Consider the following 25921-nt stretch of genomic DNA (forward strand, 5'->3'; position numbering starts at 1 on the left):
TGCTTCTGGGCAGAGGGTGTCCATTATACCACAAGCACAACCTTGAAATGTGCTGGAGCAGGAAGTCGCGCAGGACCTCATTCCCCAGGACTTTCCATACATGAGGAATGCAGGGCTGAGCAGGTGAGATGCGGCGGTGGGAGGCATGCCGCCTGCTCCCTCTCCTGATTCACTGGGGTTTTGGGCTGCAGGCAGTCAGAAGGTCTCATTTTGGGGGGTTCTCAGCAATAGATGGGGATACAGTAGGAGGGCAAAGTCACAGAAATTCTCTGCCGGAACTCCAAGACGCAGGGGCTGGGAACCGTCTGCAGGACCCAGACCCAGAGTTGGACCAGGATTAAAGGTGGTGGGGGGTGTGGGGTGCCGAATGTGAAGAACAGAACGGAAGTGCAGGAAGACAGCCCGACCTCCAGGAGACACCATCACTCTCGGTGTTTCCCTCCCTGTGTTTCTTTCTTCCAAGAAAGGGTATTTCCAAGAGGACAGATTGGTTGACCAAAAGGCCATTTTATTTCTACTTTATAAAAATAGATGAAAGGAGACTTGAAATTATTTTGCCTCTTACATCACTGGGTTTGGGTTCTGGAAGTCCCTGGAGGGTGCGCCTGTAGCCCAGACTTCACAGGTAGACATGGAGGTCATGCAGGTCACATGGCTGGTTGACACCTGTAAAGCTATGATGGCCAAGCAGAACTTTGCCGGGTATCTCTGGTCCTATTCCCTCCCCCGGGTCATCTGCCTCCCTCCTGGAATTGATTGATTAAGTGCTGTCCCTCCATTTCGTCTAATAGACCACGGGAAGGATAGGCCAAACAAGAAGGGCCTACTTCAACTTACAAGTCAAGTCACGGTTTCAGAACACCTTATCTCCAACCTCTGTCCTCACCACAAGCCAGCCCGACAATGTCCTCATCCGATTTTCTCAAAAGAGTTTGGGCGATCTTGAGGGCAAATCCCATTAAATATCTGTACCCAGTCTAGCATCCAGAGTTGTCAGCGTTCGTGAGCAAACAGATCTCAGAGGCATCAGTGTTCGTGAGCAAACAGATCTCAGAGGCGTCAGCATTCGTGAGCAAACAGATCTCATTCTTAGTGAGAGTGCTTCTCCTCTGGAAGCTCTTGAGGAGACACCCTCCTTACATCTTCCAGCTGCAGGTGTTACCGGCAAACCGTGGTGCGCCTTGGCTCACAGCCACATCTCTCCAACCTCTGCCTCCTCGGAGTCCTTTTCTGTCACTTAGAAGGACGCTGTCCCTGGATTCGGGGCAATGCTAGGGCAGGATGATCTCATCTCTGACCTTACATCTGCAACAGCCCTTTCCAAATAAGGTCCCATCCTAAGATTCTGGGTGGACATGAATTTTGAGGAGACACCATTCGAACATATCTTTGTATCTCTTCCTTCTCAGGGTGTGTCCTACCCCCTCACAGCTTATTCTTTTTCCCTTCAAACACTCTGTTGAGACCCTTACACGAGGCGGTTTCCCCAGACACCGCACAGATCTCTCCTCCCTAACGAGTTCCGCAGACTCTCTGGAAGTCTGGCTGGAAATGCTGCTCTCCCTTTTTCCTTCTGGGATGGAAAAACGCTCCCAATGGCTCCACCAGTCAGTCAGTGAGACGTTCCAAACCGGTCTTTCCACTTGGGCTTCCTCATCTGTTTATCTTTTATTTATACAAGCCTCAAACCACTGAACACTGCTTGGTAAACATTCCCTCATTTACTATGCAAATGTTAGCACGGGGGCCCACGCCCGCCCTTCCCCAGGAAAGCCACTGAGTGCTGAATGCGGATGGACTTTCTTCACATTCTTTGGGGTTTTCGGAAAGGGTATGTTTTTCCTAACGTCACTTCAAATGTATTTCTTAACAAAAACCTCCTAACCTTTGGAAAATGGAAAAGAAGTTACTCATCTGAAAGGAAACTCCAAGTTTTTAGGACCTCTACCAAACCCCTGAGTGACTGCGGTCACCTCGCCTGCCAGCATGCTAAGAAGGCATTGTCTTGCCACAGGGCTGGGTTTCTGCCAGCGATTTCTGCAACATGTTATGTCTGGGTTATGTATTTGAATTCCCGGCCAGGATTTTCTGGTGGGTCTCCCTACCCTCCATGAAAGAGTCCCTGTGCAGTGCCAGCCCTGCATCATGGTTCTTGCAACGACTGAGCATTCTGCACGCCTGGAAATGTGGAGCAGCCGGGAGGATGAATGGCCGTCAGCTTCTGAGTCCCTCCTCATCTTTACAGTGCAATAGTGAGAGTCTTTTTCTAGGTCAGTGGTTTGTAAAATGGCCAGCTTTAGAGGGAACCACCACCCTTCTAAGAATTGTAACTATATAATCACATGGCATTTAAATATATTACCAAGACCAAGGGCATCAGAGGGCATCAGTTTCTCAGCTGGGAGTGACTTCCTCACACTCCTGGATTCCCTTGGCAGGAGGCAGATGAAGAGAGCTGCTGAAAAAGTGACTTTCCTGGTTTGTGATCTCCACGGGAAAGAACATGCGACCCGTCTGAGCCTTGAATGTCGGAATGAAGTGTTTTGCTGCTGGTCACGGCTATTCTGGGAAGCACGGCTGTGGGTCTGTGAGACCATAGAAGAGGTCCTTAAAATAATATGCACGCCCGGGAGTTGGGAGCGATGAGCGGCTGTGGGGAGCCCTCTTCTGCCTGCTGCTTCCTGGTCCTACCCTAATGTGTATGTGGGCTGACCCCAGGCCATTCAACAAGCACTTATTGAGTACCTACTGTATGCCAGACATGGGCTGGGCCCCAGGAGGAAGTAGTCTTAGGTCCTGATTCCTCCTTTTGTTTTTGTTTTGTTTTGTTTTTGTTTTCGAGATAGGGCCTGGTTCTGCTGCCCAGGCTGGAGTGCAGTGACCTGAACAAGGCTCATTGTAGCTTAGACCTCCTGGGCCCAAGTGATCCTCCTGCCTCAGCCTCCCGCATAGCTGGGTCTACAGGCACACACCACCACGCCTGGCAAATTTTTTCTTTTGTATTGTTTTGTAGAGACAGGGGTCTCACTATGTTGCCCACGCTGATCTCAAGCTCTTGGTGTGAAGTGATCCTCCTGCCTCAGCCTCCTAAAGCACTGGGATTACAGGCGTGGGTCACCGCGCCAGGCCCTGACTCCTCCCTTTGTGCTGCCCATCACCTATCAGGGCAGGGGAGACCTTCACTCACATTGTCACAGAATAAAGGGACCAATGACCTCAGAGAAGCGACAGCGAAGTGCTGTTTTAGGTGTCGGGAAGTGGGATGGCAGTGGGCCGAGGACTGAAGGGCAGCAGGGAGGAATGAGAATTTGAATTGGCGCTGAGTGGGATGAGTGTTTGAATTGGCACTGATTGGAATGAGTATTTGGATTGGCGCTGAATGGGTCAATATTGGTTCTCCCCTTTTGGGTTGATGCTGATTTGTGGCCCTAGCGTCCCCCAGGCAGGGCCCCAATTGTGTTGCTTGAACTTGGCCTCTGACCCCAGGCTGACGTGGACCCTGGGTTTAGCTGCTGCTGCTCGTGGGTTTAGCTGCTGCCGCTCGGCTCTGCTTCTGTTGCATTCTGGTTCTGGTCATCTGCTCAGTGGCTCAGCCCCTCTGGGGATGGCTCTTGCCATGTTTAGTCCCAGTGTCAGGAGTTTCTGGTCCTGGAGTCAGCCCTGCCACTCCCTGGAGGACCTTCCCGAGGCCAGCTGCCTAATCCCCAGCCCCGATCCCCTGTCTGTGGCCTTGTGTCGTTGTGATCCACACTGTCCTGCCCACCACGCTGTCACCTGCTTGCCTCAACGCTGGCCAGCTACTGCTGAACACCCTTGGAAGCCCTGACCTGGCCCAGGCTGAGTGTCCCCTCCCCTGACCATTTGTGGGGACAGCTCCTCCAGCACTGGCCGGCTCTCGTCGGGGTCCATTGGGGGCCACTTCTAGGCTAGACCCTCACTGCCTGCCTGTCTGTCCCTAGAGACCACCAATGGCAAGGAGTCCATCTGGCCAGTGGTCCCATGGACAGTGGACCGTGGACAGTGACAGCAGGTTGGACAGTGACTGCGGTGGACATGACACAGCCCTTTCTTGCAGGGAAGGTTGATTTCAGGGTCACTCTTGCACTTGATCTTCCTAAAGAGGAAGCAAGGAAGCCAGCCTCTCCAAAGCGCTGATTGCATCCTGGGGTCTCTGAGCAAGCTGGCTCAGTTGCCACCTGTGGGCATGCACTATTCTTCCACTTGCAGATTAGATGCCAGGACAAGTGTCTTCCAAAGGCCACCTAGAAAGCAAACGTCAATGAATCTGGGGTTAGACCTGGCTCTGCAAGGACCCAAAGGTCATGGCAGCCCTCTTCCTCCTCGTCGTCCTCAGCGGTCAGCGGCTTCTGATGTCTCTGTTCCCCAGTCGCTGCATACTTGTGCCTCAGAGCTGAGCTTCTTATCTACCCTCCACTGACGCTGCCCACTCGGGAAGGAGCCTCCCTTGCTCTGAAGCTGCCACTCAGGTACGGAGGCTGGAGGGCGCCATAGGGGACAGACAGGGTGGGTAGGGGAGTGCTGCCTGCCTGGCAGATTCACCCAATGCCAGCATTTCTCATCACAGCACCTCAGACAAGGCAGCCTGACACTTAACAGCCCTCATTATCTGACCTAAATTCCTGCTGAAATTGAGGTCGGCCTCTTCTGATTCTGCCCCAAGTGATCTGGAGGCCTCGGTCGGTCACCATGCCCCTGTGAGGGGACACACCCTGTGCACGGAAACTGATGGTGACCGGGGCCACGTTCGCTGGTGCCCTGCCTTGATGCCCACTTCTAGAGAGGCAGAGCTCTCAGCACCTACATTGTCCTGGGGGCCGGGCAGGCCGGGACCTGGCGTGTGGCTGGAAGGGTGGAGTGATAGGGCAGTGGAAATGCATCTTGTGCCCTGTGCTCCGGCGTCCCTGCCCTCTGCATGGGTTCCTGGGTGAGGCCAGCTCCCGGCCCCAGCCTCTCCGGAGGGCCCAACTGACCCTTCTCCCTTCAGGCTTCAGTGTTGGTGCCACGGACCCTGTTGTCTGGGCATAATTGGGCGTGGGATTATGTTTAACCTACAGGTGCACACCTGTAGTCCCAGCTACTCGGGAGGCTGAGGTGGGAGGATTGGTGCCCAGGAGGTCGAGGCTGCAGTGAGCCCAGATCCTGTCATGCACTCCAGCCTGAGTGACAGAGAGAGACCCTGTCTAAAGAAACAAACAAACAAAAAAACCAGCCAATTACTAAACAAACAAAAAAGCAGTGAGGGTCGGACATGGTGGCTCATGCCTGTAATCCCAGCACTTTGGGAGGCTGAGGCGGGAGGATTATGTTTAACCTGTTTAACATCTTCCCCTTTAGACTCTGTGTGAGTCGGCTTGGGCTGGGAACAAAGCAGTGCAAACTGGGAGCTTAAACAACCGACGTTGATTCCCTCACAGTTCTGGAGGCCGGAAGGTCAAGATCCAGGTGTCTGGACAGAGCCCTCCTGGCCTGTGCTGGTGTGGGCGGAGGCGGTGGTCCCTGGTGTGCCCTGGCTGCAGCCGCCTCGCTCCCCCTCCACCTCTGTTGTCTCATGGTACTCCCTTCTCCATTCATTTGCATCCAAATGTCTCTCTTTTTATAAGGACATATTAGATTTAGGGCCCACCCTACTCCAATTTGACCTCATTTTAACTACACCTGCAAAAATCCTGTTCCCAAATACAGTCACATTCACCAGTTCGGAGGGGTAGGACTTCAACATATCTTTTTGAGGGACACAATTTAGCCCCCAAGAGACTTTAAGGCTTTTGGAGGCCATGAGCGGGTCCCACTGAGGCCCCAGGCTGGCCTGCAGCAGGCAGGGCCGGCAAATGTGTGTGGAAGGAGTGGGGCAGGGCAGAGGCCGGCTCTCAGATAGGCAGCTGAAGAAAAACCCGGCACATCCACGGGGAGTTCGTGCTGGTGTCTTCTCTCTCTCTTTTCCTCTCCTTTCTTATATGTTGGGTTCTTCTCAAATGTGAATTTTCTGTATCAGCATCCCTCCTGCCTGCCCATACCCTCCTCCCACCACCCAAGTCTCACTTCCTGTTTTCGGCCTTTCGCCTGAACTGCTTCAGAAGTTGAAACCCCACAGGGCTGGGCCTGCCCCTGCGAGGCATGTTTTTTTTCTGGAAGGAGGAAGCGGCAACGGGTTACAGGCTGGAGGCTGTCCCTGTGCTCAGATCCCACACACGTCCCCAGCAAGCCCCAGCCCCTGCCCTGCGGGAAGTGGGGTCTTGAACACTGCCCCGTGGGGCTCTCTCAGGGGCAGGTGAGGCAGCGTCTTCTCGCGCCCTCATTTCCCTCAACTTATCTCCAGGGCAAAATCCTATGCAGTGGCACCCAGTGGCCGGCCCTGACTTTGATCTTGGGTGCTTTCTTCTCCACCCAAAAGGCTCTGAGGTCATCTCTGTATCAGAAAATCAGCAAGATCTGCAGCGGGACAGTGGGGACTGATGGCCACTGTCATCAGCATCATGGTGAGCACTTGAGCTGTGGTTTCCTCAGGACAAATTGGCCTTCCCCACGTGAACTCGCGGCAGGCAGAGAATCTAGGTTGGGACCCTGGACTGCACCCGGTGCTGGGCTCCTGGCCTTTTCCCTCTCCGCCCTGCTAAGGCTGCTGTGCCGAGCCCTGGGACCATCCAACAGGGAGAAAGGCCTTGGGACAAAAATGACACTTTCTCAACATCACCCACTGTTGAGGTTACAAGAAGCAGAGAGTGTGAGAACGTTTCCAAATGAAAGTGGGGGAAGGATCGCAAAGAAGCAAGTTAGTTAGGGCTGTGCCCAGCCAGCGCCAGTGCCAACGCCGAGCCGCCTCTGCAGGGGAAACCGAAGCAGATGTGGTGAGATAATACATCCAACCCTGAGTGCTACTCTAACCTGCCAGAGGCGGAGGGTTCTCAGTGAGATGAAAGCATTACAGATGCGTTAGATCTAAGGGAGGGGCCTGCAGATGCGCAGCTGGCAGAGAAACCAGGGAGGGGCTGAACTGTCAGTCGCGACCACCAGGGATCTGAATCAGTTCACCGACAGCCTTGGGGACATTCACCTTGGGCTCCACAACCTGTCAGAAATGCCCCCAAGCCCAAAGGCGTCGAGAGAATGGCCAGGTTGTTTCAGATTGACACATATCCTAATGTACAAGTCAGCCCACACACCCCACGTGCACTGAGCGTCTCTTGTTGTTCACCCCAAATAAACTCTGCCGGAACTGGGGCGGGACTCGCAGGGGCGGAGAAGGGGGGAGACGGGCAGAGGGCAGAAGTGGATGGTGAGAAGAGCCAATGGAGGGGCCCCGTGAGAGTGAGCAAGGCTGCACCCCTAACCGACGTCCTGGGGCTACTGTACAAACAAAGAACCACAGGCTGGGAGGCTGAACAACAGACCTGCACTCTCTCGCAGCTCGGAGGCTGCAGGTCTGAAATCGAGGGGCTGACAGCGCTGGTTTCCTCTGGAGGCTGCGAGGGAGAAACCGTCCCCTGCCTCTCCCAGGCTCTGGGGTGAGCCCTTCCTGGCATCCCGGGCTCATTGTAGATGGATCACTCCAATCTCCATGGCTTCTCAGGGCTTCCCTCCATGCACCTCAAATCTCTCTCTCCTTCCTTTTGTAAGGATGCCAGTCATTGGATTTAGGTTCACCTTAAATCCAGGATGATCTCATCTAAATTACATCTGCAAAAAGACCCTTTTTCCAAGTAAGTTGACATTCACAGGTACCTGGGGTTAGGATTGGACATATCTTTTGCAGGGGTGCAGGGGGCTGCCACTGAGCCCGCTGCACAGGGTGACCTGGGCCAAGGGCCCTTCACTTTCACTTCCTCATTGGCAAGCTGCCCTGTGTTTGGACTGGGTCGAGGCTGTCAACCTTGCTGCCCCTCGGAGTCCCCCCTGGTGTCCCCCAAACAGATTCTAAGCTGCTTTCCTGGGGCTGGAGGCCAGGCATTGGGATTTTTTAAAGAGCTTCCCAGCAGGTGAGCAGCCTTTCATGGGTATCAGGAGACCTTCCTGGCAAATGTGGTGAAGGTCCTTCCTCCTGAGCGATGCCTTAGACCCAGGAGCCCAGGGAGGCTGCTCACCTGATCGTTAGGACAGGAGCAGTGGAAACCTCTGGCCTCAGACCCCCTGGAGGAATCCCTCCCTCTAAGACTCTGGGACTGGTGCACGCAAGGAGCTATCGTGAACATTGCTCCCAACTGGCCGCTTGCTTGTCCCCCGGCTCCCCTTGGCCCCAGTGGCGGCTTTGCCTGAATTAGAGGGCGTGAGAGCCACCTGTGTCTCAGCACTGCAATTAAAGCAGGAAGCCCTTTCGGAAGCAGCCGTGTGCACCAGCCTCCCATGGGTGGAGCAGAGCAAACCACCCACTTCTGCCCTCTGCCCTTCTTCCCTTTTCTCGACACCCTGCGGCCCCCCAGTTTCAGCAGAGTTTATTTGGGGTGAAAAACAAGAGATGCTCAGCGCCTGTGGGATGTGTGGGCTGACTCGTACATTAGGATGTGTGTCAATCTGAAATAACCTGGCCGTTATATGGATGCCTTGGGGCTTGGGGGGTTTCTGGCAGTCTGTCGAGCCCGAGGTGAATGTCCCCAAGGCTGCTGGTGAATCAGATCCCTGGCGTTCTCCGTTGGCAGTTCAGCCCAACAGTTTCTCTGCCGGCCGTGCCTCTGCAGGTCCCTCCTCTGATCTGATTGGATTAATATTTGAATCAATAGACTGAGTCAAGCAGAATGTGGGTGGGCCTCATGCAATCAGCTGAAGCCCTGAAAAGAGCAAAAGGGCTGCCCCTTCCCCCGAGGAGGAGAGAACCCCTCCTGCCGGACGGCCTCCGAACTGGAACATCAGCTTTTTGCTGCCTTTGGACTTGAACTGAAACATTACCTCTCCCTGGGTCTTGAGTCTGCCTACGTTGGCACGGGAACTACACGTTGGCTCTCTTGGGCCCCAGCTTGCTGACTCACCTTGCAGGTGGTGGTGGACTTGTCAGCTCCGTAACTGTGTGAGCCAATTTCAATTTCTTAGAATCACAAATTTCTTTCTTTCTTTTCTTTTTTTCTTTTGAGACAGAGTTTCGCTTTAGTTGCCCAGGCTGGAGTGCAAAGGTGTGATCTCGGCGCACTGCAACCTCTGCCTCCAGGTTCAAGCGATTCCCCTGCCTAAGCCTCCTGAGTAGCTGGGACTGCAGGCGCCCAACACCACACCTGGCTAATTTTTGTATTTTTAGTAGAGATGGGTTTTTGCCATGTTGGCCAGACTGGTCTCTAACTCCTGACCTCAGGTGATCTGCCCGCCTCAGCCTCCCAAAGTGCTGGGATTACAGGCGTGCACCAACATGCCCGGCCCACAAATTTCTTTCTTTTCTTTTCTTTTTTTAAAATCAGTTTTCTGTTTCTCTGGAGAATCCTGACAAAGAGCGCATATCTGAGAATTTTAAAATCATTTATTGGAACTATTGAATCTGTTGTATTCTGTTTTTACTTTTGAAAATCCTTGCGGCTGGGGGAATGTACACCTTCTCTCTTTTCCTCTTAAACATTAAAGCCTGATTCGAGGTAGAGGCAACTCACTGTTGTGATGTCCTTTTATCCCAACCTCAGCCCCGGCAGAAAGACTCCGCGCCTTGGGACATTGGTGTTTTCCAGGAGTGACTGTGCTGGGGCAGCTGCCTGTTGCGATGAGGGCTGGCGGGGAACGATCCCCTCTGAGTTTGGCGTCACTTATTTGGAACCCTCCAGCAGAAAGCTTTCTAAGATGCCACACTATAAACTCATTCATGCAGTTATTGCGTTTCAGTTCAGATTCTATTGCTCTTGCTTCATTATTTCAAAGCCACATGATGATATCCATTACTGGGTGCAGAATGGCCCTGATGGGTCTAGAAGCACCGTGGTCTGACCCGTCCTAAGAGATGATCCAGTCACGAAATGCTGGTGCAGGTGTGGATCGAGCCAGTTATCTTCACTATCTGGAAACAAGACCCTGAAGTCCAGGTGGCCAAGGACTGCACCAGATCTCTTTCTTTTTTTTTCTTTTTTTTTTTTTGAGGCGGAGTCTCGCTCTGTCACCCTGACTGGAGTACAGTGGCATGATCTTGGCTCACTGCAACCTCCGACTCCCTGGTTCAAGCGATTCTCCTGCCTCAGCCTCCCGAGTAGCTGGGATTACAGGCATGCACCCCCATGCCCAGATTTTGTATTTTTAGTGGAGAGGGGGTTTCACCATGTTGGCCAGGAGGGCCTCGATCTGCTGACCTTGTGATCTGGCCGCCTCAGCCTCCCAAAGTGTTGGGATTTCAGGAGTGAGCCACTGCACTCAGCCTGCACCAACTTTTACAGACAGGCTGGAGTCCTGTCTAGAAGTCAGGACACCAGGCCTGGCTGGCACCCTATTCTCCAGACCACGCTGCCCTCCGCAGCCAGGTCCCAGGACCCAGACATAGGTGGATTTTTGTTTCTGACTTGCATTCGCTCTTTTACATGAACCGTGAATTCTTTGTCCTAACGTTATTGTTAGGGCGACAGCATTCCTGATCGTGGTGCTAATGCGGTTATCAATAGGCTCCAAAGCTTATCCTTGATGCTCACGATCTCAGAGTTGGAAGAGGCCCTGGCAAGCACCCAGGCCAGTCTTCTCTGGTAAGTGCCCTATGCCCTTAAAACCACCTCAGGATTTCAAGGACAGAGACAAATTAAAAATAGAGGCTTAATTCTCCTGATTGAAAAGAAGGGAAGAGATTTTTCTCTCCTTTTTCTCTGAGCATTACTCTTTATTTATTTATTTATTTTTTGAGACGGAGTCTCGCTCTGTCGCCCAGGCTGGAGTGCGGTGGCGCAATCTCGGCTCACTGCAACCTCCACCTCCTGGGTTCAAGCAATTCTCCTGCCTCAGCCTTCCGAGTAGCTAGGATTACAGGTGTGTGTCACTATGCTTGGCTAATCTTTTTTGTATTTTTAGTAGAGGCAGGGTTTCACCATGTTGACCAGGCTGGTCTTGAACTCCTGACCTCAGGCGATCTGCCCAGCTCAGCCTCCCAAACTGTCTCCTGGCCTCTCTGGTTTCCTAGGGAGGCCAAAAGCCTAACTTAGTTGATCTTGCTCCAAGCTGCAAAACCACCTCCTGTCATGAAGATAGGAGTTCATTCTTCTTCTAGATACAGACAATTAACAAACACAGATGGTAACCCCAGTGACCAGGTGGTTCTGGGGTCAACGGTGTGTGACAAATGGCACTGTCAGGGCCTCTTCCTTAAGGACTAGTTATTGTTTATGTTGAAAACACGCATGCAGTTAGTTGTACCTGTTTGAGTCTTTAAAAGGATAAGATCCTTTCTTTGCAGTCTCTTAGCCATTGCTTGTGATGCATATCATCTTCTGGCTTAACGGTTATTCAATAATGAAACTTTTCTTTCTTTTCCACCTTTGTGGAGAGGTTTCCTGGGTTTAGAGCACACGTCTTTTTTCTTTCTTTTTTTTTTTTTTTGAGATGGAGTCTCGCTCTGTCCTCCAGGCTGGAGTGCAGTGGCGCGATCTTGGCTCACTGCAACCTCCGCCTCCTGGGTTCAAGCAATTCTCTGCCTCAGCCTCCCAAGTAGCTGAGATTATAGGCATGTGCCACCACACCTGGCTAATTTTTGTATTTTTAGTAGAGATGGAGTTTCACCATCTTGGCCAGGCTGGTCTTGAACTCCTGACTTCGTGATCCACCCCCCACCCCTCCCAAAGTGCTGGGATTACAGGCATGAGCCATTGTGCCTGGCCAGCACATTTTATTTTTAATTATATTTCCCCAGTAATGGCCTTACCTACATTTAATGACAATAAGTGATGGATACTTAAAATACACTCTAGTTCTAGAAGGCATTCCCATACATTAATTAATTTGGTTTTCATAAAATCAGGAGGCATTAAAACACCATTAAATTAGAAGGCATCACTATTCCCTTTTGGTAATTTCTCATTTAGGAAACCGAGGCACTGAATGGATAAATGCCACCCAGGGGACCCTGTCCAGCCGTTGGCAGAACGAGGACTGGACTGAGGGTATTTGGCTCCTAATCCAGGGCTTTCCCCAGGTTCCACTGTGAGGCATGCAGGGTCTGAAAACACACCGGCACGTGCGTGTCCACTGCCCCCCTGGCCTTAGCTATGCCTTTGCTGTGTTACGGAAGCACCTCTGAAGGCCTGGGCGCCTCTTCTGGGAGTTTCTCGTGTCTCTTCGCCTTCCGATCTGCTCTGGCCTTGCCACGAGAAAGCGACAGGCCCATGCTGCTCCTTGGGGCCTGGAGACAATGTCCCAACCCCAGGCCGCACCCTCGCTTTCCATCCAACCCGGCAACTGCTGCCCGTGGAGGGCCACAGTCTCCGAAGTGGAATGTGGAAAAGGAAAAGTCATTCGGGCTGTGATAAGAAAGCCGAGCTTCTTCAAAGGTAAACAGAAACAGAGACAAAGACGAGGGCACGTGTCTGTGTGAGTGAGGGAGAGAGAGATGGGGGAGGGGAGCAAAACAGAGGCGGCCCGGAGAACTCTCCAGAAGGGTCCGAAGGCTGCCACATGGAGGAGTGGCACTCACTGTCCAGTGTGAGGGTGGACCAGGCTTCTCGGATGTGGTCGTTCCAGCAGGAAGGCCAACCGTGATTCCATATCGTGAGGAATTTTCAGGCAGAGCCATCTGTCCACAAAAGGGGCCATCCCACTGGATTCGTGTCCTGGTGTTCAGGAGGACACGGTCCCGTCCTCAAGGTCGTGTGAGCACCTGAGTCACCCGGATGCCGGGGGGCCTATCCTCCAGTGCCTGAGTGAGAGAGGGGTGAGGCTGGGAGCCTGCATTTTCTATATGTTCCCTCCCCATGCAGGTGGTCCCCACACACACCCCGAGAAACAGGGTGTTAAGTCACCGCCGCTGTCAGAGAGCCACCTGGATGGGCTGGATGCTGGGCTGGATGACTCAAGGTCTCTTCCAAGTCCAAACCATTTTTTGGTTGCATGACTCTCCTCCCTAGCTCGTCCTCACATTCTCCATCACAACCAGCTTTCCCTGAAAATAAACCCAGCTGGCCACCCCTTGGAGATGAGGGCTTCTCCCACCCTGCCTCTTTCTGCCTGCACCTGCCCGGCAGCCGTTACCATGCATGCCCATATACATATGAGTGAATATGTGTACATGTGTTAGTGTGGGCATGTGTGAATGAGCATGCATGAGTGATGTGGCATATGAGTTTGTGTTTGTAAGTGTGTGTAAGTGTGAACGTGTGTCAGTATGTGTGTGGACTTGTGTGAGTGTGTCTGTATGTGTCGGTGCACATGTGAGTGTGGATGTGTCTGTGTTTATGCCCAGTGTGAGCGCATGTATGTGAGTGTGAGTGGGTGTGAATGCCTGGGCATGTGTGCCCTGAAAGCCAGCATGGCACACCAGTGGCCTCCATTGTCTCTCCAGCCCTTGGATGCTGTGTGGGGGATGCTGGCCTTTCTGCACAGAGGCCCTGAGCGAATTTGGGGCTCTCTGCTGGATGGACTGTGGAAGACACACCCCGGCATTGTTGGACACCAAGTGCTGGAGAATTCTCTCCCTGGTGGGTTACAGTATGGGGTTGTTTTTCTCCTCAGAGTGTTTACATGGACAGGGCAAATGTGAAAAATCCCTCCGGCCATCATGCAGGAAAATATGTATAAAGGATAACTGGAGAAAAATGCCTTCCATGGACAAAACACAGACAGAAACACACACACACACACACACACACACACACACACACACAAACAGCAGGGGTATCTTTCATTGTGCCTCAATAAAACAGAGGTTGAAGGAGACACCAAGCTAGAAACAGACTGTTAATTTTGGGATTTTTTTCTTTAATCATTTTAATATAAAGAGACAGCATGTTACAATGACATTTTATGGATGATTATAAATTATTATGAAGTCCTCAACTGGTAAAATGTCTTGATTTTGTTCCCCTGTCTTGGGGTCTGTGGTTAAATCATGACAGACCAGCAGTGGAGTGGAGTGTGAAGAACTGCGGCTTGAGGCTTAGACAAGCCTGGGTTTAATCTCTTGTTTACTGGCTGTGTGGCCTTTCTGAACCTGTTTTCTCACCTATATAATAGGGACAAAGGACCTATTTCATAGGGCAATCGTGAAGATGAGAGACAACAGTGCACCAGACGAATTTTGAGTTTTAACCTGTAATATTATCCCTGATTTACCTTGATATTTTATAGACATTCATACATTATAGTAGCAAACATTTTGAGATGATATATACAAGATAATACAAATTCATCTTGCATTTTAAAATGTTCAGATTTACTTAAATCATAATACTTTTTATTCTTTTAGTGTTAATAAAATTTCACTTCCTTGAGTATTATATAATAGCTTTAACATTTATTCTTTTCGTATGAAAACGTTTTTTAATGAGCCAATTCTGTGTGAAGCTTTTGGTTTTCTATAAAAGCTGCTGTGTTCCAAGGACACCCGTTGTACGCAGCCCCTTTGCTGTGAGATCATTTCCAGCCTCCTTTTTGTATTCTTGTCATGGCATCTGACATTTAGTCATTAGCCAAGCAAATGCAGCAGTTCATCATCTCAGAGATTAATCTACAGAGAATAAAAGAGGTAGCAACGTTGGTGCGGGAGTTAGGCGAGAAGGTCCCTTCTGGAGGAATCGTTTTGTATCTAGAACACCAGGGAATTATGCTCCCGAACCATGCAGCCAACGTGAATCTTTGTTAATTCATCTGAATGTTTCCTCAGTAAAATCAACAAGATCTTCTTCATCCAATGTTAAAAATTGGGCTTCAGCAGTCAACACTAAGAAGTGAGAGGCAATCAACGGTGCAGTATGAAAACATCATGAGCTAGAAAGAACTTAACATGAGATTTAGAAATCTACTTCACATATACCATGATGACTACTGAAATAAAACATTAATCACCTGTATTCTTATCACTCCTCAAAATGTTTTCTTCCTGTCCCAGGGCCCTTTCTGGAGTTTTCTCCATGCTTATATAACTGTACAGAGTTGTCACTTTCATGGAGATGAAATTGCATGCGTTGCTGTTTTGACTTCACATTGTTAAGTATTTGTTTGTGCTACTAAAACTTCATGGTGAGCATTTCAACGCCCGTGTAATGCTGCATCCAGATGCTCTGTAATAATTACTCTCCCACTCTCCTGTGGCTGTCCAATTATGTAATTTCCCACTTTAAGTCATAATAGGTAATGCACATCCCTGTGACCACAGCTTCGTGCTCTCAGCCCAAGCTCCGGGAGGAGAGGACTGGGTCAAAGCACCTGGACATTTTTGTGACTTTTGAAGTGCATTGTGGAACCGTGTGAAGGACGCTTTTCTGAACGTGATGTTCCACTTTGATTTGATGCTGTTTTCTTCTGCCAGTTCAGAACGATAGGGTAAGAGAATACTCCGTGTTGATGGAGAGACTCAGATATGAGTCTCAAATGTGTTTTCTGCGTAACAACGAGATGGGATCCAGCGATGCGGTCTGGGCTTTTGGGTACTCACCTTTCCTAAAAGATGCCATCTGCTTGGAGCAGAATAGGCTGTGACACGCAGGAGCCCCCAGGGAAACGGCCATGGCAATGGTGGGTGTTAACGAGCAGGCATAAGGGACTGCTCCCAGCGGTGCTTCCTCTGAAGTCATTGCCACCTGCAGCAGCACAGGGGACAGAAAGGCCGTTTCTCCAGGTCCAGGCAGCTCAGGCCCCTATGAGCCCTGGCGTAGCAGAGACCCAGGCTTCTTGGTAGAGGCCCAGAGCCCTGTACTGCCACCACTGCCGGACGATGCTCAGGACCTCGGGGCTGGCACTGCTGGCTCTGGTCAGTGCTGTGGGCCCAAGCCAGGCCAGCGGCTTCACAGGTGAGGGGTCTGGGCTTGGCATGGGCAGTTCTTAAGGACAGGGGCTTCCTGGCATGGGTCTCATGAGGACAGCCCCCTGTGGAGACCTGGGCAGGCAAGGACGCCTCTGCTTGGAGAGGCGACATCTGTTCTTTTGTGGACAAGCTTTTTGGTAAGCGCACATGGTAGCAGCTGTGGAGGTGGGGCAGGAGTGCCGGGTAGGGTTTTGGGAAGAGGACTCCCCCAGTGGGAACCTGTTGCTGAATCACCTGGGCGTTCGTGGGGGTAAAATGCAGATTCTTAGCCAGCAGGTCTGGGGTGCAGGGCCTGGAACTCTACATGTCTGTGGGTGATGCAGATGCTGTGGGTCCTCAGATCCCACTGAGAACAGTGAGCTCCTACAGACGCAGAAGAAAGGTCTCCTGAACCTTGGTGCATTCAAGTCCTCACTTACAGATTTAAAAAAAAAAGGAGACCTAGCCTGGGCAACATCATGAGACCCCATGTGTACCAAAAAAAAAAAAAAATTAGCCAGCCATGGTGGTGCACACTTGTGGTCCCAGCTACACAGGAGGCTGGGATGGGAGGATCACTTGAGCTTGGGAGGTCCAGGCTGCAGTGAGCTAAGATTGCTCCACTGCACTGCAGCCTGGGCGGCAGAGCAAAAGCCCCCAAACAAACAAACAAACAAACAAAAAAAGCCACAATACAAAAACAAAAAAGAAAGGGAGACCCAGAATGGATCAGGGACTTGCCCAGGCCACACAGCTCACAGGGCAGAGTCACCACAGGAGCCAGAGGCTGCACCAGGGCTCTGTCCGGAGTTTTCCCAGGCATGCGGAGAGCAGGGCAGCTTCTTAAAAACACACGGGAGTTCTGAAACCCCAGAATCCAGGGAAATGGGACTGCGGAATTTTAAAATCATTTTCCTCTTAAAATCTGTCATATTCAGTTACAAATTTAAAGGAATCCATTCTGTTTCTAAAATCAACTATGTTTTTGTACTACTTTAACGTTTTTCACCCAGAAGCAGGATTTTGCTTTGTGATTTGTGAAATGGATTTTCCCATTGGAACAGGTAATGTGTAGACCCCACAGTTCAGATGCATAATGGGTGGGTATCCTGGGAAGCTGGAGAAGGTCTTAGGAGGTGTTTCCAGAACCCCTCATTGTATATGAGGACACGGGGCAGAACCTCAGCAACCCCACACGTGGTCGCCCCGAATTTTCCCTGTGTGCCAGCACTGCCTTCACAGGCATGACCCCACTTCAGCCTTTTGCAGCCACAGGACATGGCTGTTATTTCACAGATGACAAGAGAGGGGCACTGGGAGGGCATGACATGGGCGCAATCATGCAACAGGGGTTTGTGAGCCTGGGTGTGAGCACAGGTCCATCTGACCCCAGGACTCTTGTTGGCCCCAGAGCATTAGGCTTTCCCATCTCTGAGACCGGAATCCAAGACCCCCGGCTCCTGCTCTGATGGCCCTTGTGGGTCTTTGCGGGATGGCAGGATCTGCTAACTGCTTTCTTCTCTGGGCTTGGCCAAGAAGCCAGGCTTGGGATGGCACGTGACCTCGGATAAAATGTTAAAAACAAAACAGGGCAAACATCTCCCGGGTTCCACAGGAGATGAGTGTGTGTGTGTGTGCGCGCGCGCGTGTGTGTGTGTGCGTGTGCGCATGTGTGCAGGACGGCTCTGCTGCGGACCAGCTGGGGCCATGTAACGATCAGGTGGGGCCCTGGCACCTCTCTAGAGACCAGGAGCTGTAAGTGTCCTTAATGTGGTTGGCATCTCTGCTCAGGTTACGATGAAAAACGCAAGCTAGATCCACTCTGCTAAGTTCTTGGTGCAGGAAGTCCTCGGCCTTTGCCTAGCTCGGCGTGGTCACTGAGTAGGTGAGCGCGTTCCTTCCGGCCATATTCCACCGTTCTTCATGCAAGTCACCTCTAGGCTCTCAGCCAAGCTGCCCTGGTCCCGGAAGCTGATTTGTCCTGTTCCACCCCGTACGATGAGGACCTCCCGTTCCTTTGCAGAGCTCACAGTAACTACCCCACTGGTGATGCCAAGCAGCAGGTGGTCCCCATCCCCAGAGGCCCTGCTGGGCCCGCAGGGTGATTTGGGGTTCAGCCCCCAGAGGAAGTTGCAGCTCCAGTCCCTGTTGCTTGTGGAGTGGGGTCGCTGTGCAGCAAGTGTGTGGTCCAGCACCTGTGTTCTGCCCAGAGCAAATCTGCAGCCTCTTCCCTCACCGTGTTTGAGGGCTGGCTCTGCCCTATTTCTTCCTGGGGTGAGTAACAAGCCCCTGGAGTCCTGCTTTCTGCACACTTGTAGGTTGCTGCGAGGTCCAAGGAGGGAATCTTCAGAGATGCTGCCCCAGTGGAGCGAATAAGGACAGCAGTGGTTTTGTGATCATTTCTGCTCCCATCTCTGTGTTCCTCCCCAGAAATCAATCCAGCTACTCATTGAGGGAAATCAACTGTAATACTGAGCCCCCACCTCTTGGGGGTACAGTCTAGTAAAGCTTAGAGCTCAGGGGTTGAGTGTCTGAAATGCAAGCACTGTATGTCAAATCCTCCGTTCATCCTGCACTGAGAGTCCATGTACTCAGGGCCCCCTGCTAGGTGCCACGGGGGAGCTGGAGGGGACCCTTCACCATCCCTGTGTGCACTGGCTAGGGCTGCTGTAACAAAGAAACACAGCCTGCGTGGCTTAAACAGCAGAAATGGATTCGGTCACAGGTCTGGAGGCCGGAAGTCTAAGATGAAGTTGCGGGCAGGGCTGGCTCCTCCCGAGCCCCTGCAGGAGTCTCTGCTCCGGGCCTCCAGCTTCTGGAGCTGCTGGCAATCTTTGGTGTTCCTTGACAGGTAGAAGCATCACCCTGGTCTCTACCTTCTCCCTGTGTGCCTGTCTGTCTCCACATTTCCCTTTAGTATAAGGGCCAGTCATATTGTATTAGGGCCCACCCTAATGTCTCCACTTTAACTTGATACCCTCTGTAAGACATTACTGCAGATAAGGTCATATTCTGAGTTACTGGGGTTTAGGACTTTAACACACTAATTTTTGGAGGAACACAATCAATTCAAACTAGGCAGTAGGGGCTCCCGGGGAGATGGGAAGCCCAGGCACCACGTCAGGGGATGTCCATGACCAAAGAGTCTCGTGGTGAATGTCATGGGGCCAGGGGTCTCGAGAACGGAGTAATCACGTTGATGGAGGGGCGATGGGCCTTGTGTAAAGGAACCAGGCTCCAGTGAGAGATATGTGGGGCCCAATAGGGTAAACCTGATGCTTGTCCTGCAGCGGGGGTGACTGTGCCTCCTCCTGATCACAGTGGTAACGGCTGAAAAGTTGAACTGGTCTTTTTTTTGAGATGGAGTCTCGCTCTGTCACCTAGGCTGGAGTGCAGTGACATGATCTGGGCTCACTGCAACCTCCGCCTCCTGGGTTCAAGCAATTCTCCTGCCTCAGCCTCCTGAGTAGCTGGGATTACAGGCACCAGCCACCACAATTTTTTATTTTATTTTTTATTTTTGTTTTTTTTTTCAGAGGGAGTCTTCACTCTGTCACCCAGGGTGGAGTGCAGTGGCGCAATCTTGGCTCACTGCAACCTCCGCCTCCTGGGTTCACGCCATTCTGCCTCAGCCTCCCAAGTAGCTGGGACTACAGGCGCCCACCGCCACTCCCGGCTAATTTTTTGTATTTTTAGTAGAGAGGGGCTTTCACCATGTTAGCCAGGGTGGTCTCGATCTCCTGACCTCGTGATCCGCCCACCTTGGCCTCCCAAAGTGCTGGGATTGATTACAGGCATGAGCCACCGCGCCCAGCCCACACCCGGCTAATTTTTAAAAAATATTTTTGCTGGAGATGGGGGGGGGGTTTCACCATGTTGGCCGGGCTGGTCTCGAACTCCTGAGCTTGAGTGATCCACCTGCCTCGGCCTCCCAAAGTGCTGGGATTACAGGTGTGAGCCACCACGCCCGGCCTGAGCTGGTCTTTTATCATCAACAAACTTCTCACACACTTGCCACAGAGCGACCGCACTCCACAGGTGCTTTAAGTACCTGCTTACTTATCTTCCACCTCATTGAAAAGAAAGCCGTCATTGTCATGTCCTGGCCACAGCAGGCCTTCAGTTTGCACTGTGGAGGGAACTGCTGCACATTCACTTCCCATGTGGCAACCTTGAGGCTCAGGGGGACTAAGAGATAGATGTGCACGAGATTCTACGGCCTGTGGAATCAGCTCACATGGAGCAGAACAAAGGGACGTGATCTCTAAGCATTGATTCCAGCGCTGTGCTCTCTCCTTCGTATATGGACCGTGAGAACCCTGTGCTTCAGGAAGCATGCGTGGGGCCCAGGTGGCACCTCCTCCTCGGTCACAGCGGCTTTCTTAGCAGGCCAGGCTACGTTTATGCTTTATTCTTCTGTGCTCACTCATGCAACAGCCTTCCTGGTGCACTAGCAGGCAAAGGCCAGTGGAGAGGGCTGGTGGGCAGCTTCTGAGAGGCCTGCGCGAGTGCGGGAGGTGTGCTCTCACTTGCTATTGCAGAGGGACGCCTTGCGGATAACCGCTCGCACGGATCTGATCCTGGTGTTCTCAGTCGCCTTCTTGCTTGGCCTCTTTCAGAAAAAGGCCTCTCCCTGTTGGGCTACCAGCTATGCAGCCACCGTGTGACCCACACTGTACAGAAGGTGGAGGCCGTGCAGACGTCCTACACGTCCTATGTGTCCTGCGGCGGCTGGATCCCCTGGAGGCGGTGCCCTAAGATGGTTTACCGGACACAGTACCTGGTAGTGGAGGTCCCCGAGTCCAGGAACGTGACTGACTGCTGTGAGGGCTATGAACAGCTCGGCCTCTACTGTGTCTTGCGTGAGTCCAGGGCTGCTGGGCTGGGGCGGGGCCACCCTTGCCGTCGAGACGCCTGATGGGACAGTCACCGTTGGCATCCATTGGCCCCGAACTTGCTAGATCTTCCAGGAGCACGGCTCCCAGCCTTGACCAGGCAGCAGGTCATCGGCAGGGCTTTCCCTGGCCCCACTCCTAGGTTTCTGAGTCCGTGGGTGGGGGTGAAGTACAAGAATTTGCCCTCCTGACAAGTTCCTGGGTGACGCTGACGCTGCTGGCCCAGGGACCCCACTTTGAGAACCTCTGCTGTTCTCAGAGGGCTCCTGGATGGCTTTAAAAATGCAGATGCCTGGGTCTCTTCCTGAGAGAGTGTGAGGGAATTGGCCCGGGGCGTTGAGAGAGTGTCGGAAGTTTTCAAAGCTCCCAGAGTGATTCTCATATACCACTGAGTGTGAGAGCCAGCACTGAACTCTCTTCTACAGCAGCCTTTTCTTTCTAAAAGCTGCAGTGAAATGCTTTCGTAGCCAAAATCCTATTCTGAACTCCAATACGTGAAAGAGCTGGAAGGAGCCCCGAGCCTACCACCCTAAGTGCTCAGAGGCCCCCAAGTCCTCCCAGTTCCTCAGTGCAGTTTGGAAGCTGCTTTCCTGTAGGATGCTTGGGGCCAGTTACCAGGGTGACCTGTGTGGTTATGCCAGGCCAGGGTCTGAGCCGTTGGGATAGGGCAGGGACTCAGGGCTCAGCCTACTGACACACAGGTGATCTCTTCCAGGGGAGGGGTGTGTGTGTGTGTGTGTGTGTGTGTGTGTGTGTGTGTGTGTGTGTGTGTGTGTGTGTGTGTGTGGTGGCTGCTAATTTTGAGTCAATACCAGATCTGCAATGAGTTTCTGTACAGTCAGAAGGTCCTGCCTTGCACCCCCACTGTGGAGGGATGTGGGGGTGTGTGGCTCCAGCTTGGTGTTGGCCAGGGTCACTGAGACATAAGGGCTGTGACCTCCAGAGTGCAGAAGCCACCAGCTCCTGGGTGCCACGAAGGGGATCCTGCAGGACCCATCCTTGTGGCCTGAGACTGTTGTACCCAGGCGAGTTAGAGAAAACGCCATACTTTGAGACGAATTAAGAGTCTTTTATTAGCCGGCGACCGAGAGACGGCTAACGCTAAAAATTCTCTCAGCCCCGAAGAAGGGGCTAGATTTTCTTTTATACTTTGGTTTAGAAAGAGGAGTGGGGGTCTAGTTAAAACAATTTTACAGAAATAAAGTAGGCAAAAAGTTAAAAAGATAAATGGTTACAGAAAAGTAAACAGTTCCAGGTGCAGGGGCTTTAAGACTATTACAAGGTGATAGACACGAGGCTTTGGGCGTTATCAATCAGACGAATTCCTGGGAACTGCGGATATAGCTCGCCACAGTATCTTATCAGTTAACTGCATTCTTGGATGTGCTGGGAGTCAGCTTGCACAAGTTAAGTCCTTGAGGAAGGGGCTGCCAGTGAAAGAGGCAAGATGGAGTCTGTCTGGCTCTCTTAGCTAAGGGAGAGTCCATTCAGGTGGAAACAAGCCTAAAAACAGGGTTAGTAAAAACAAGGTTGGGCATTACAAGACCAGGACAACAGCAGAATGGAGCGTGGACTCCGCAAACCAGGGTGTCTGCCTCCTCCAGAAACCAAGGGCCCCAGATTGTAGAGTCTGGGGTCTGCATAGACCTGCAGGCTGGGCCATCCTGAGTGGGCCCTCCCTCAGCCCCCAGTGCTATTTCACTGATGACAGGGAGAGTTGATGCGTTTCTGTTGCCCCGTTCAGAGGGCCAGGCAGAGAGAGGGCCTGATGGTTTCGGGTGTGCTGTTAACAGGCATGTTCCTCTTTCAGGAGTGTTAAAACAATACCACCATAACCAACACCTCCATCACCAACAGAAACCAGGCAGGGCCAGCTGACCCCAGAGCAACACCTCCATCACCAATAGAAACCAGGCGGGGCCAGCTGACCCCAGAGCAACACCTCCATCACCAATAGAAACCAGGCGGGGCCAGCTGACCCCAGAGCAACACCTCCATCACCAACAGAAACCAGGCGGGGCCAGCTGACCCCAGAGCAACACCTCCATCACCAACAGAAACCAGGCCGGGCCAGCTGACCCCAGAGCAACACCTCCATCACCAACAGAAACCAGGCGGGGCCAGCTGACCCCAGAGCAACACCTCCATCACCAACAGAAACCAGGCGGGGCCAGCTGACCCCAGAGCAACACCTCCATCACCAACAGAAGCCAGGTGGGGCCAGCTGACCCCAGAGCAACACCTCCATCACCAACAGAAACCAGGCGGGGCCAGCTGACCCCAGAGCAACACCTCCATCACCAATAGAAACCAGGCGGGGCCAGCTGACCCCAGAGCAACACCTCCATCACCAACAGAAACCAGGCGGGGCCAGCTGACCCCAGAGCAACACCTCCATCACCAACAGAAACCAGGCGGGGCCAGCTGACCCCAGAGCAACACCTCCATCACCAACAGAAACCAGGCAGGGCCAGCTGACCCCAGAGCAATGGCCCTTCTGTACTCTCATTGGTTCCCTAGAGGGCCACTGGCAGGACAAGCCTATGCCTTGGCCATGCTGCTCAGGTGCTGGTCTAAGGAGACCCTTCCTGTCCTGATGCCTGGCCCCATTTCCACTTTCTTCGAGGGCCACACACACAGAGGGGCCTGCTGAGCTACAGTTGCTGCTGTGCAACAACTCCACTCCTAGGGGATAGCGGGGGGCCATTAGGACACAGGTGCTGGTGCCACGGCAACTCGGTTTAGAGCATGTGGGCTTTGCAGTCAGGACATGCCCTATCCTGTCCAGTCTTACCTGTGAAGGCCACACCTCTTCCTACCTGTTGGCATTGTCAGGACTAGTGAGGGGAGGAGGCCCTGGGGGAGGCTGATCAGCAGCCCCTTCCTGCTCCCGCTCTGCAGGGCCACACCAGCCCCACCCATGCCCACCATCACCTTCTGTAAGAGACCCTGGCCTGCTGCAGCAAACAAGTTAATTCCCTCCCAGAAGATAGGGAGGCCTCTCCCCACCACCTGCCCTGCATCCTCCTTCACAGACCAGCCTCCAGGAAGCGCCTCTTGTTGGAATCAGCCCCACTTTTAGAGTGTTAACACCTTTAATTAGGGACTCACCAGGGCGATGCCCTTGCAGTCAGGGAGTCCCGTGGGTGAGAGTGGGCTGCCCTGGGGAGCTGCAGGGAGTGGAGAGTGAGGCCACAGGGAGGGACGTGAGGCATGAGGGGAGGTGGACTCAACCTGTGGGCCCTGAGCCCCTCAGTAATGGCCCCTCAGGTTCTAGAAGGCTCACTCTGGCACAGTGAAGAGGGGGCAGATCTAGAAGGAGGAAGGAAGAGAAGAGGGAGGGAAACAGGCACTGCCTGAGTGCATTCTTTCTAAGAGGCCAGGGCAGGAGACCCTCCAATCCCTCGGGCACCAAAGGAATGAGTATCCCTGGCTCTGCATGTGGGGATCCAGGCTAGGGGAGGCCCGCGCCTCCACCACCATGGCACAGTTCCAGGAAGGCAGGCTGGGGATGTGGACCGGGGCTCTCTGACCCCCAGGCAGATTTTTGGGGGTTTACCAAGCTGCACTTTAGTATAAGGGAGTTTGTGGCATTTGAGTGCTGTGGCTGTGGCGACTGTGGGAGGAGGAACATTTCAGGGCACTGAGGACACGGAGTTCTTTCTCAGAAAGGTCCCTGCCTGTGCCGGGGCCTGGTGAAGGGCACAGCCCACGAGGCTTCTGCAACTCCTGCCGCTGGAGGGCCTGTATCCCATTTCTTCCCAGCCCCACGGTCAGAGACACCATGCTGGTGGTGTGAAGGCGCCTGTGGTGGGCGGATTTACACCCCGGATTTTGGCAGCGCGAACTTCTCCATGCTTGCACAGCTCTTTTGATCAAAGCCGCCTTTTTCTGGGATGCCACACAGCAGGTTGGCTCCTTGGAGCTGGATGTGAGATGGTTTCAGTAAGTGACCTGTTGAGCACCGTGACTCTGATTTGTACAGAACGAAGCAGGGCCCGAAGCTGGACCTGGCAGATGTTGGAGGCCCCTGGAAATACTGGGAAGCGTGAAGGGCAGGAGATGCTCCTTCCTCTGTGGCGGGGCCTCCAGGTCACCCGAGTGTGGGTGACTCACACCTCAGCTACCCGGGGGTCTGCGCCTCGGAGTCCTATCCCCCAGACAGTGGTAAAATGCCAGACATGTTTCCTCCTTTCTCCTCCCACTCAATAATGACTTATGCAAAAAAGGGAACGGAAGCATGGACACACACGTGATATGACTTTCAGTGACTTTTTCAACTTTTTCAGTCCAGCATTTGGAATGCGATGACAACTGGTGCATTATTTTAAGTTTTTAAAAATATAATTACAGAAATGAACACACGAGCCATACAGAAAATTTGGAAACACAGAAAAGAACAGGAGGAGGAAACGATCCCAAGCCTGCTGCTCACGAATAACCACCTTTCACATGTTCTTTATCCAGGGCAGACATTTCACAAGAGGATGGCCACTGTGTCCAAGACATTTGTAGCACGATTTTACCACTCAGCAATGTATCCACAGCAGCTTTCATGCCTGTGAACATGACTCCACTGCATGCTTTTACGGCCACATGGCATTACCTCATACGCACATCAGCATTCATTGAGCAAGCTCTTGCCACTTAACTGTCAGTTGTTTCCAATTACTCATTATCATACATAATGCTGTGATGAACATCATACCGTACAAACACGACTGTGCACAAGTTGGATTATGCGCTGAGGATGAATTCTGAGAAGTGGAACCCAGCATCTTAGCTGTGCTCTGTTAACTCCAGTGACACCCCAGCTCTGCACAGGATCAACCTCCTGGCAAACTCAGCCTCGTTAGGCAAGTCCAGGACCCCCAGAGGACCAGGAGACTCCCCAAAACTTCCTGTCCCCGCATGCTGATGACCAGGGGCCCTTTGGTGAGAACCTCCTGTCCCGACCAGGCGAAGAGGCCCCGAGGAAGGAGGAGGGAGACAGGAGCGACTCCTCCTCAGCCCACCCAGTCCTCAGCCCTGGGAGCCTTGGGTTTTGTTGCTCAAACACAAAGCTCCCCTGTTGCCTCACTGGACCATGACTAGCAGTGTTGCCAGGAGCTGAGCAGTTCTGTTTTATTGTTTGCAT

The 25921-nt window shown here is 52.5% G+C and overlaps 1 protein-coding gene across 5 annotated transcripts in view, besides 11 other annotated features; it reads left to right on the top strand.

The window, feature by feature from the left end:
- Positions 4376–4959: an enhancer, noted in NCBI's record as "H3K4me1 hESC enhancer chr21:43479981-43480564 (GRCh37/hg19 assembly coordinates)". NCBI's record gives its function as "activates a minimal SCP1, AML or CMV promoter by ChIP-STARR-seq in naive H9 embryonic stem cells {active_cell/tissue: H9 hESC(naive)}" and the evidence as "EXISTENCE:reporter gene assay evidence [ECO:0000049][PMID:30033119]".
- Positions 4960–5543: an enhancer, noted in NCBI's record as "H3K4me1 hESC enhancer chr21:43480565-43481148 (GRCh37/hg19 assembly coordinates)". NCBI's record gives its function as "activates a minimal SCP1, AML or CMV promoter by ChIP-STARR-seq in naive H9 embryonic stem cells {active_cell/tissue: H9 hESC(naive)}" and the evidence as "EXISTENCE:reporter gene assay evidence [ECO:0000049][PMID:30033119]".
- Positions 5782–6021: an enhancer, noted in NCBI's record as "active region_18499". NCBI's record gives its function as "activates an Ori minimal core promoter by ATAC-STARR-seq in GM12878 lymphoblastoid cells {active_cell/tissue: GM12878}" and the evidence as "EXISTENCE:reporter gene assay evidence [ECO:0000049][PMID:35858748]".
- Positions 7002–7171: an enhancer, noted in NCBI's record as "active region_18500". NCBI's record gives its function as "activates an Ori minimal core promoter by ATAC-STARR-seq in GM12878 lymphoblastoid cells {active_cell/tissue: GM12878}" and the evidence as "EXISTENCE:reporter gene assay evidence [ECO:0000049][PMID:35858748]".
- The window catches only part of UMODL1 (uromodulin like 1), an 80120-nt gene continuing 61579 nt past the window's right edge, over positions 7381–25921 (top strand). For 2 of the 5 annotated variants that reach the window (NM_001199527.3, NM_001199528.4), the window contains exons 1-2: positions 7381–7718; positions 20509–20751. In NM_001199527.3, coding sequence (NP_001186456.2) covers positions 20649–20751 — 103 coding nt within the window. In that variant the 5' untranslated portion in view covers positions 7381–7718; positions 20509–20648. Of the gene's footprint in view, positions 7719–15820; positions 15897–20508; positions 20752–22675; positions 25720–25921 lie in introns of those variants that run through there. The other 3 variants (NM_173568.4, NM_001004416.3, XM_017028507.1) reach the window with 2 other exon arrangements.
- Positions 7542–7651: an enhancer, noted in NCBI's record as "active region_18501". NCBI's record gives its function as "activates an Ori minimal core promoter by ATAC-STARR-seq in GM12878 lymphoblastoid cells {active_cell/tissue: GM12878}" and the evidence as "EXISTENCE:reporter gene assay evidence [ECO:0000049][PMID:35858748]".
- Positions 8602–8671: an enhancer, noted in NCBI's record as "active region_18502". NCBI's record gives its function as "activates an Ori minimal core promoter by ATAC-STARR-seq in GM12878 lymphoblastoid cells {active_cell/tissue: GM12878}" and the evidence as "EXISTENCE:reporter gene assay evidence [ECO:0000049][PMID:35858748]".
- Positions 11855–12409: an enhancer, noted in NCBI's record as "H3K27ac-H3K4me1 hESC enhancer chr21:43487460-43488014 (GRCh37/hg19 assembly coordinates)". NCBI's record gives its function as "activates a minimal SCP1, AML or CMV promoter by ChIP-STARR-seq in primed H9 embryonic stem cells {active_cell/tissue: H9 hESC(primed)}" and the evidence as "EXISTENCE:reporter gene assay evidence [ECO:0000049][PMID:30033119]".
- Positions 17008–17509: an enhancer, noted in NCBI's record as "H3K4me1 hESC enhancer chr21:43492613-43493114 (GRCh37/hg19 assembly coordinates)". NCBI's record gives its function as "activates a minimal SCP1, AML or CMV promoter by ChIP-STARR-seq in primed H9 embryonic stem cells {active_cell/tissue: H9 hESC(primed)}" and the evidence as "EXISTENCE:reporter gene assay evidence [ECO:0000049][PMID:30033119]".
- Positions 17510–18009: an enhancer, noted in NCBI's record as "H3K4me1 hESC enhancer chr21:43493115-43493614 (GRCh37/hg19 assembly coordinates)". NCBI's record gives its function as "activates a minimal SCP1, AML or CMV promoter by ChIP-STARR-seq in naive H9 embryonic stem cells {active_cell/tissue: H9 hESC(naive)}" and the evidence as "EXISTENCE:reporter gene assay evidence [ECO:0000049][PMID:30033119]".
- Positions 20104–20605: an enhancer, noted in NCBI's record as "H3K4me1 hESC enhancer chr21:43495709-43496210 (GRCh37/hg19 assembly coordinates)". NCBI's record gives its function as "activates a minimal SCP1, AML or CMV promoter by ChIP-STARR-seq in primed H9 embryonic stem cells {active_cell/tissue: H9 hESC(primed)}" and the evidence as "EXISTENCE:reporter gene assay evidence [ECO:0000049][PMID:30033119]".
- Positions 20606–21105: an enhancer, noted in NCBI's record as "H3K4me1 hESC enhancer chr21:43496211-43496710 (GRCh37/hg19 assembly coordinates)". NCBI's record gives its function as "activates a minimal SCP1, AML or CMV promoter by ChIP-STARR-seq in primed H9 embryonic stem cells {active_cell/tissue: H9 hESC(primed)}" and the evidence as "EXISTENCE:reporter gene assay evidence [ECO:0000049][PMID:30033119]".

This window comes from Homo sapiens, chromosome 21 (assembly GCF_000001405.40).
Source record: "Homo sapiens chromosome 21, GRCh38.p14 Primary Assembly".
Classification (NCBI taxonomy): domain Eukaryota; kingdom Metazoa; phylum Chordata; class Mammalia; order Primates; family Hominidae; genus Homo; species Homo sapiens.